Genomic DNA, 10,568 nt, shown 5'->3' with positions numbered 1-10,568 from the left:
AGTTTATTAGGAAAGTAAAGGAATAAAAGAATGGCTACTCCATAGGCAGAGCAGCCCCGAGGGCTGTGGGTTGCCCATGGTTTTTATGGTTATTCTTGATTATCTGCTGAACAAGGAGTGGATTATTCATGCCTCCCCTTTTCAGAGCATATAGGGTAACTTCCTGATGTTGCCATGGCATTTGTAAACTGTCATGGCGCTGGTGGGAGTGTAGCAGTGAAGACAACCAGAGGTCACTCTCATCTCCATCTTGGTTTTGGTGGATTTTAGCAGGCTTCCTTACCACTGCCTGTTTTATCAGCAAGATCTTTATGACCTGTATTTTGTGCTGACCTCCTATCTCATCCTGCGACTAAGAATGCCTTAACCTCCTGGGAATGCAGCCCAGTAGATCTCAGCCTTATTTTACGCAGCCCCTATTCAAGACGGAGTTGCTCTGGTTCACACACGTCTGACACCATCACTTACGAAACAGCTTCAGTCAGGGAAAACTAGAAATTCCAAAAGGTGATAGAAGAGAATTGGTAGGAGAGTTTTCTGAGGTAGAAAATATAATGGCTTTTTTCCCATCCTCTCCCTGAGGAGAAGACTGTTGGGGCTCAGAAACCAATACCCCAAAATATGACACTTTGTACATGCTGAACCAAAAAAGGAGCTTCAAGGTCTACTTGACTCTCCCCACCTTTCACTACCATCTCTCCTAAAGCACAGGCTGAAGTTGTTCCCTGAAGTTCCCTTATCTTCCTAAAGTTCAGACCTGCCAAAGAAGACATTACCTCCCATGAGTTTTCATTAACTGAACCCATACCACAGGAAAGAAAATTAAATTCTGTCAACAAACCTGGACAGACTTTTGTCACAATCTATTGTCTGCTCTGCAGGCCCAGCAGACTTTGTCCAAGACCATTTTATGTTCTTCAAGCCCATTGAATGCTCCCTAGTAATCATTTATTGCCCCTCAACAGATTTCCTCTTCTCTCCTCTCCCATAACATGTTTTGCCAGAATCCAAGCCCCCATTTTTTCTGTAACCTCAAGACGGTATATAAGCTTCTTCACCCTACTGGGAGTTGGGTCTTCATTCTGAAGACTCTCGTGGATACATGTTAAATAAATTTGTGTGCCTTTTCTCCAGTTAACCTGCCTTTCTTTGCTTCTACAAGAGGTAGTGCTTCCTCTCACAATTTGATTGAGAGAGGTTCAAAAACATACCCACAGAATGATGTCCCTCTTTACATAGGGAGGCTATAAAATTGACATTTTAGGATAAAGCTGAGCTGTAAGGCAACAGAACAACACAAGGAACCACTACTTGAAAATTTGATTCCTATGTGAATAAAAGATAAAAGAAGATTAACAAGTAATCCTATCAAGATGTCGTCCTGAAGCATTGCCAATTGCGGTATTTTCTAGTTTTGATATGCAGATAGGGATGCGAATAAGACGAAGACTCAAAAAAGTAACTTTGAACACCTCATTTATCAAATCAGCAACATATAGCATTGTGTATTTTAATAATTTTCAAACAAGCCTACTGTGTAGGCTATGCTTTCTGCCCTTTTGTAAGTTGATGTTCTTTTTAGCCATCAGAAGGCCTATGGTTTGAGCCCAAAGCAAGAAGATTTGATTTGAAAATATCAAGAATATGGAACTTTCAGGAGAATCTGGAATATGACAAGTGAAATATCCTAAAACATTGCTTCCCAAAATACGCTGCACTAAACACTATAAGATGATCCATTGCAAAAAGGAGGGATTGCCGTGAAGCATTTGAGAAATGCATATGTGTTATCTTTATTCTTAGATATTCACAATTCACATTAGCATGTTTAAAAGTTTGAGAAATCCTTCAATTTTTAAAAGTTGCTAATGTTTAAACTAGCATATTTGATATACCTTCCAATACCCAATCCTAATTCCATGACAAAATCCAGTTAGCATCTGTGGAATAAATCTTTGGTAGAAGTTTCTGAATCTATGAATTCTCTCTGAGCACAGAGATGGGAAACACTGCTTTTTCTTTCTTCCTCACCTTGTAGACCGTGACTGCAGTTATAGAAAAGTGAGAAAGAAAAGAAAGAGGCTAAATGAAAAGGCTATAACAGAAATTGGACAGGATGAATGTGGGGAGAGAGAGTACAAAGTAGCTAGAAAACCAGTATAGTGCTGTTTCCTGGAGGCCAAAAATGGCGCCTCAAAAGGCAAACATGCAAGTGAAACCGTCACTTCAAAGGAGAGACTTGTGACCCAGCTCAGCTGCTCACAAAGCTTATTTACCAAAAAGATTTTGGCTAAAAGGCCCAATGGTTAGAGCATGGAAGATGAGTAGAAGGCAAAGATTCATTCAGACAAGATGGGGACATTGTTTAGGTCTGGCTATGGGATAGGAGAGGGAGATCTTAAAACTTTACAGAAAAAAAATTGTTAGTTTTTTCTCTGGGAAGATAATCAGTGGCCTTGGTTGCAGGTAGTATGAAAAGTAACGGTCTAAAATAGAACCAAGGAAGGAAACAGAAATGCTCCCAGGTGGGTTGAAAAACTGCCTTGCCAAGCTCCATAGAGCATCAGTATATCAAATGAGCATTCAAGGTCCAGGTCTGTCAATCCCACTCCCTTCGGAAGCAATGGGTTTTTAAAAATGCATCTATGCTATATTTAAATGAGCGAACTTATCAGCCTCTTTTCAGAATTTACAGATGGAAAGTGGCTAAAGATTTTTCTTAGTGAAAATGATAAATAGCAGGGTTTGTCATGTGAGATATGCTATTACCTAAATCTGACTGAAAGGAAGGTGATTTGCATCAATTAATTGACTATGTTTAAAGTCTGTTTTCCCCACATGACAAGAACCTCCAGCCTGCTCTATAAATGGGCTGCAGGTAAGAGAAAAGAGGAAGGCTTCCTTCAGGGTCTTCAGAGTAACTGTGCTCCATTCTTTTCTCCTTCCACAGTGATTTGAGAGAGAGCTTGTCTCAGATGAGGTGCGATTGTAGTTGTTAATCTGCTTGTGGGGACAGGAATTTAAACAATACAGGTGGCTTTCGCTGAGAACTTAAGCTTAAAGTAATCTTTGAGCACCAAAAATCGTCCTTGGGATTTGGTATCCATTGCCCCATTTCATCCTCAAAACAACTGTATATGAAGGTGGGCACTTATTTTTTTTCTTTAAGTTCTGGGATATGTATGCAGAACGTGAAGGTTTGTTACATAGGTATACATGTGCCATGGTGGTTTGCTGCACCTATCAACCCATCATCTAGGTTTTAAGCCTTGCATGCATTAGGTGTTTGTCCTAATGCTCTCCCTCCCCTTTCCCCCAACCCCGACAGGCCCTGGTGTGTAATGTTCCCCTCCCTGTGCCCATGTGTTCTTATTGTTCAACTCCCACTTATGAATGAGAACATGCAGTGTTTGGTTTTCTGTACCTGTGTTAGTTTGCTGAGAATGATGGTCCCCAGCTTCATCCATGTCCCTGCAAAGGACATGAACTCATTCTTTTGTAATGGCTGCATAGTATTCCATGGTGTATATGTGCCACACTTTCCTTATCCAGTGTATCCTTGATGAGCATTTGGGTTGGTTCCAAGTCTTTGCTATTGTAAATAGTGCTGCAGTAAACATACATGTACATGTGTCTTTATAGCAGAATGATTTATAATCCTTTGGGTATTTACCCAGTAATGGGATTGCTGGGTCAATGGTATTTCTGGTTCTGGATCCTTGAGGAATTGCCACGCCATCTTCCACAATGGTTGAACTAATTAACACTCCCAGAAGGCGGGCACTTTTGTTATCCCTAAACTATGGATGGGTAAGCTAAAGAAAAGGAATAAAAATGTAAGAGGAAAGAAGAGCTGAGAGAAGGAAACCAAGCAGGCACACATTGAACAGTAGACAGTTCAATCTAGAAAGTATCATGGAAATTTTTTTAGGCCAAGGGTTCTCAAACCAGAAGTAATTTTGTCTCCCAAGGGACATTTGGCAAAGATTAGTGACATTTTTATTTGTCCCAGGTGGGTGAAGGGAGGTGCTGTTAGTATCACAAACCAAGAATGCTGCTAACTATCCTCTAATGCACAGGGCAGCTCCCGACACCAAAGACTTATCTAGCCCCTAATATTAATAGTGCTGAAGTTGAGAAGCTAATTTAAATGAATCCTTTTATTTTACATAGGAGGATACTGAGATCCAGAGAGGCTAATATGTAGTATAATGGTTTAGAACTTGGACAAGTGCCTTAACATTTCCGAGTTTTCATTGCAATATCAGTAAAGTAGGGATAACTATGGTAAGCACTTCACAGGGTTGTTGGGCCAATTAAAATGTTGCACATAAACCAGGTAGCACCCAAGCTGGTTCACAATCACACCTAGTCAATGGATGACCTGCCCACTAGTTAGCTTACAGCTTAGATCCCCTACATCTTTAGAGGACTTGGGAAGCATTACCAGCAAATGCGACTCTCAGACACCCACACCTTCTCCTGGTTTAGTCTGACCTTATTTTCCTCCATCAAGAAAGAGTACAAAATAACACCCAGCCTGCTGACTGATGACGCTCAAGCAAAATATGAAATCCAAGCAAGACCAGTTGAGATCAAGAGAAATGGTGGGAGGAGAAAGGTTACAAAAGATCACTGAAAGAAAAATAAAGAGGAAATATGGCATCCCCAAGGAATTAGAGATAAATACTTTTTTTTAAAAAGCCACCAGCTGAACCTGGTGGGAATCTAGTTGAGGGCAGAGCACAGTGGGCACTAACCCCTCTAGGTCAATAATTGGCTTGGGCCTCTTACAGTTGGCACAGCTCCAGGTAGAATAGAAGGAGGCTGTGTGCATTTAGAGAGACAAAGCTGGGGACACCATGTAAATATACACTCTCCCAGCAGCACAAAGTGCTAGTTACCATCCTTCCTGGAAAGAAAAAAAAAAAAATCACTGAGGCCCCTGGTGGGCGTGCTAAAGCAAATATCTGAGCAACTAACTATTCAAAAGAACAGACTTTTGCTTTGATCACAGGATGAGGCTGGAAACTGCATTTTTCTGATTACACTGCATTTTATCCATTCCCTTGTTGATGCCAGACCACATTTATTCTCTATTAGAATAGAAGCCATTTTTTATTCTCAGCTGCTTTTCTAAAAGAGTTTTTTTTTCTTTCTCCTCACCAGTGCTCAGTCTGAGTAGAAAGGTTTCTAATATAAACTCTGAAATTAATGTCAGGCCTTCTACAGCTGGTAACCCTCTGCTTTCCCCCTGAAGCTATACTGAGCAGAGCAATTTGAGCTAAGAGAAAACTCCTTCCCTGTAGTGTTATGAATGTGATAAGTTATTCAGGGGAGTCCACCCAGAAAACAAGAACAAAAATCCCTAATCCAAACCTCTGCAGTTATTCAATATAACACTTGTCATTGTATTCATTTTCTTGGGGGGATTATGGACACAATGAATAGCTAATAGACGTGTATTCCTCTGAGTCATCAGCAGTTATTTAGAATGCCATTTTATGCAGAAGACAGGGTAGGTACTGCAGTGAAAAAGTGATGGCCTAGCATTTGCAGTACAATTGATTTTTCAGAAGTTAGCCAAGCTATAAGGGCAGAGGACAGCACAAACAACCAGGAGCTGAAATCTCTGTCCCTATGTGAATAAGAGATGAAAGATTAGTAAGAAATTCTACTAAGATGTCATCCCTGAAGCATGCCAGCTGTGGTATCTTTGGGGGTTTTGATTCATAGTAGGAATGTGAATGAAAAGATGACTCCAAACAAATAACTCTATGTATTTACAAGTAGCACCAGCTAATACTTACACAGCATTCACAATGAGTTAGGCACTATGCCAAAGCACTTTACATATATCATCAAATTTAATCCCCATAACAGGTAAATACTATTGTTATCTTCATGTTAAAGAAAGGAAAACTGAGGCAGAAAGAGGCTAAGTCATGTGCCTCACATTGTACCACTATAGGAGATTATGAAAATCTTAAAAGTTGTAAAATAAATATGTCAGGTCTCTTCTGAGGACAGAATTATACTTCCACCCCATTTGAAATTAAGCCTAGTCTTGTGATTTGTGTTAACCAAGGAAATATGTATGTAAGCCACTGAATCACCTCTAGGTAGAATCTGGAAGAGCCAGCATTTTGTTCACCATGTTCTCTTTGCCCTGGTTTGGTGATCACTGAGGTATGTATGGGGAAGGAGACTCCATCAACCTCAGTTTCTGCATAACTTGATGATCATAGGCCTCCTGCCAGTCTGTGTGGGACATTTAGCATGAGCAAAAACCTCACCTTTGCTATACTAAGCATCTGCAAGTTCCGTCTAACAATGGAGTATACGCCAGGCTATACAATACAGTGGTACCTGATAGATTTAGAAAATGAATAGCGCAGACTACGTGAAAGGAAATTCAGAAAATTGGAATATCAGTATAGCCAGGTATTTTGATCCAAGCCCATTGGGTGGGAAGGATGAGAAACCCTTTCTAATTAGCCTTGGTTAATTAAGAAGAGAAACTTGACGTTAGGTTATAAAACTTTTAAAATCTAAAGCAGAGACCTAAGAGCAACTGAGCCCCCGGTAACCCAGAAGTAACTTTGAAAGCCAACAATTTCAGTTGTTTTCTAAGAGGTTGCATGCACTCTTGAGTTTGTGTCTCTCAGCTTTCTTATTTTCTCTACTTTTCAACTCCTTGGCTTGGAACAACATTACTGTCAATCTCACATAGCAGATCCATCTCTCCCGACATTTAAAATGTTCTGTGTCACTTAGTTCCGTTATTGAGAGACAGAATCTGCTTGGCTCAAATGGTTTCCCTTTGGACAGACATAAACTTCTGGTCCAGTGAACTGACGAGGAGAAGATCCCATGGAACATAAGGTTGTCTAAGGCCAGTCTTTTCAGTAGAAATGGGATGAGGGGGCAAGTCCAAAGAAAAAAAGTATGTGGATAGTGAAGAAGTTTAAAATGATTTATGAAAGAGGTGAGGATGTGATGTAGACAAACAAAGAGAGAAGTGTGGCCAGAGCATTGCAGGAAGGAAATACCAGCATGTGTTAAGATGGGCAATTGCTCCTGCTTGTTTGTAACCTACAGTGGCTGAAGAGAGAACGCTCAGGTTTCTCAGAGGTGTGAGGTTAGAAAAGCGAGATGAGTCATCAACCGATATTCATCAGTGACCTTTGCCTTTACGCAAAATTTATTTTCTAAGTCTGCTCTGCTCAGCTCAGCACCTGCTCTTGTAATTGTTTTCAAAGTCTACGCTGCGATCTCCAAGTCAGAGTGTGTGGCCCTTCGCTAAACTATACCATTTCTTTCATCTCAACATTTCTTAGTCCCTTTCAATTTTCTCTTAAGTTTTATAAAAATTAATAAGCATTTTTATATCCTCTACAGGACTGTAAGCGACCTTGAAGGAAGGACCTGTGTTTTATACCTATTCCTAGCACCTAGCTCAGTTCCTTTTGCATAACAAAGCTTCATAATTGTTTGTTGAATAATTCGAAATAAATAAACCTTGCTTTAGGAAGAATGAAGGGTAACAGTGACTTACGTAGGCAACACCACACAGACTCGGAGTTTTTTGAAGAGCAAATTGCCTATAAGAGGAAGATGAGAACTTTTAATCACTATCATGACCAGCACCCCCGCCCCGGCCCGAGCTCTTCTTTTGCCTACTGACTACTCTTGAAGTTGGTAGTGGCGCTCACTCTCTGCTCCCTAAAAGTAACAAACCATTTTTTAAAATAATGCTTTCAGTTTTAAATCTTGGAATTGAGTTCATAACACAGTAATGATTTTCATGAGATTATTAAGTCATATGTCAATATATTAGCGGGAAGTGCTAAGAGGCTTTAAAGCCATGATCTGAGTCTTCCAGCTCTACCTAATCTTAGGCAAGTTACTTTACTTTCTTTAGTAAAACCTGGATTGAATAATACTTACCTCATAGGTTTGGTGCAAAGAGTATATGAAAACCACACATCAAGTAGTTAGCACACAGTAGGCTTCAAGAAATATTAGGTCTCTTCCTATTCTGTTGTTCCTTTGATGCAAACTGCTTTTTGCTAAGCTGAGTGATGCTACATAATTGTGTGCCATGTTGTGCTTTGGACAGACAGACCAGCTGCAATTTAGACTGCTGAATAGAACCCCCAGTGCGAAATTGTACAGCCACTCAGGCCCGATGGTCTTTGATCTCTCCAGAGTGCTTCATCTTCTCTGGTCAGTGGCTATGCCTCCTTGTTGCTCTGGAATAACAGAAGGTCAGAGCAGGTCTCCACACTATTCCAAGTGACAAGACTATCCAAAGCATTGCAATTTTGGCTCATTCCCTATTATGACAATGAGAGTAACAAGAACTGAAAATGGCACAACACAAATCCATTCTTGGAACCAACATTTTAATAAAAATGGGAAATTTTACAAAAGCTGTTATTCTCAGAATAGGTTTCTCATTGTAATTGTGTGAATTTGTATTTTTCTTATTTCTTGCTTTTTTTATAATCTTATGTTCAGATCTTGGTATTGGCTTTCAGTGAAATTTGTTTGGGCAATCAGGAAAAAAATAATGTCCAACTAGTAACAAGGTTGTAAAATTTGAATAGACTGAGGCAACACATGCTAAAGATATTTTCCTTTGCAAAACTATTCTACAGTATACTTTTGACATATTAAGAAAAAAAAAAAACATCAAACCAAGATGCTAGTGAATAAAATTTGCCTCTCAAGAGACAGACATTCTGTTACAACAGTGGTTCTCAAATGCAAGCAACTTTGCATCCCCTGGCCCATCCCCAAAAGGTAGTTGGCAATAACTGAAGATATTTTTTCATTGTCACAATTAGGGGAAGGGTGCTACTGGCAATGAGTGGGTAGAGGCCAGGAAGCTGATAAGTGCCCTGCAATATACAAGCCAGGCTTCTACAACAAAAAATTATTCTACCCAAAAATGTCAGTGGTGACAAAGTTGAGAAACTTGTCTTAAAGGAACTTAAAGTTCTTAGGTGCTTGAATCCAATACCTTAACATTTAATTATTGAAAGATTTTTGCATCTAATGTCCACGGGGCTTATCAAAGGAAAGCAAAAAAGGAAAACAGATAAAATGAAAATTTGTAAAATAGGAACTAAGCAATTAAGTATCAAACTTTTCAGAAGTCAATATAAGCCATTTAAGTAAACGTTATATTAGTCATCTTTTTCAATTAGCTTATTCATAATTCCTAACACTTATATTCCACTTTAAATAACATATACAATTTAAATGATTTCATCTGATCCTCACAAAAGCCCTCTGAGGTAGATATAATTAAGACTCAGGGAGGTTAAGTACTTGTCCAGTGAAACATGAATAATAAGAACAGTCTGGGACAATGAGAAAAGTAAATGACTGAGATCAGGAGAACTGAGCTTCCTAAAGTCTACCATGTGCCAGTCATGCATCATTGTTTTACCCTGCTAAACCTTGGCTTCCCCAGCTATCTAATCGGATTGGTAATTGCTAGCTCAGAGAATCACTACAAGGACTGAACAAGGTGATGAGTTTCAAATAAATTACCTCACATGGTGTGAAATACACATAGAGGCATCAGACCACCAGGGCCTGAGCCAGATATTCCCATTTCAAATCTAATGCACTTTCTTCCATCCCATGAGGACCCACCGTGTGTTTAGAACGCCGCAGGCATTTGAGGACACTGATTTCAGTAGAGAATGTGTATAGCATGCCTGAGGAAAGAAAAAAGGAAAAAGAAACACCTTAAAATCAATTAGAACTCCTTTACTTTCAACTGTATTGTTCAAAATTGCCAAGAGATTTCTTTCCTGGCCAGGACAAGAAAAGCAGAAACTTTCCATTTTCCATGATTGAAGAGTGTGCGTTTTTGTATGTGTTGGGGAGTGGAGGGCAGGGAAAGAAGAGCATCTCAAAACATTCTAAAGCAAAAAGGAACTTGATCATGTTCCCTGAAATGAGGAGAACACACTTCTACTTGTCAGACCAATCTCAGACCAAGGGAGTGTATTTTTCTCAAGCTTCCAGCAAATCATTTTGGACCTAAATCAAAAAAAGTGAAAATTTAAAAAGAAACATTGACCCAGTAATTCTACTTCAGGGAATTAATCAGAAAAAAAAGCATATATACATACATATAATTTTAACAGGCAATATAGAAATTTTAGTGTCATGAATACAGTTCTATAAATTATGGAATCTTTTATAAACATGAACAATTGACACCAAATAAAATACCTAGCAAGAGGAGAATGGTTAAGCAATTATTGAAAATTATGGTAAAGGATAGCTATAACAACATGATGAATGTCTGCTACAATAGCAGGAAAAGCAGAAAGAATTACAAATACAAAATAAACTCAGTTTTATTTTTTAAGCCTAAATAAGCTGGTAGGAAACAGTCTAAAATGTTACAGTGGTGAGATTAGAAACAATTTTTCATCTTTCTTATTTTCTATTTTCCAGCATTCTAAAGTGAGCATATATTCATGTTGTAATAAAAAAATAAATATAATGATTAAGCTAAGAGGACTTGGAAAAAAAGGAGC

The 10,568-nt window shown here is 39.0% G+C and overlaps 1 protein-coding gene across 1 annotated transcript in view, besides 1 other annotated feature; it reads right to left on the bottom strand.

The window, feature by feature from the left end:
• Positions 4,120-4,289: an enhancer, noted in NCBI's record as "experimental_107363 CRE fragment used in MPRA reporter constructs". NCBI's record gives its function as "activates a minimal promoter by MPRAs in K562 erythroleukemia cells, with activity observed for both the introgressed and non-introgressed 9:27766978 variant alleles {active_cell/tissue: K562}" and the evidence as "EXISTENCE:reporter gene assay evidence [ECO:0000049][PMID:34662402]".
• LOC124902135 (uncharacterized) overlaps positions 8,797-10,568 on the bottom strand; it is a 50,861-nt gene continuing 49,089 nt past the window's right edge. Inside the window, exon 3 of the mRNA XM_047424284.1 lies at positions 8,797-9,734. Within this exon, the coding sequence (XP_047280240.1) occupies positions 9,595-9,734 (140 nt within the window). The 3' untranslated portion in view covers positions 8,797-9,594. The remainder of the gene's footprint in view (positions 9,735-10,568) is intronic.

The sequence above is a fragment of the Homo sapiens genome, chromosome 9 (assembly GCF_000001405.40).
Source record: "Homo sapiens chromosome 9, GRCh38.p14 Primary Assembly".
NCBI lineage: Eukaryota > Metazoa > Chordata > Mammalia > Primates > Hominidae > Homo > Homo sapiens.
This window is presented reverse-complemented; position numbering and strand designations above follow the sequence as displayed.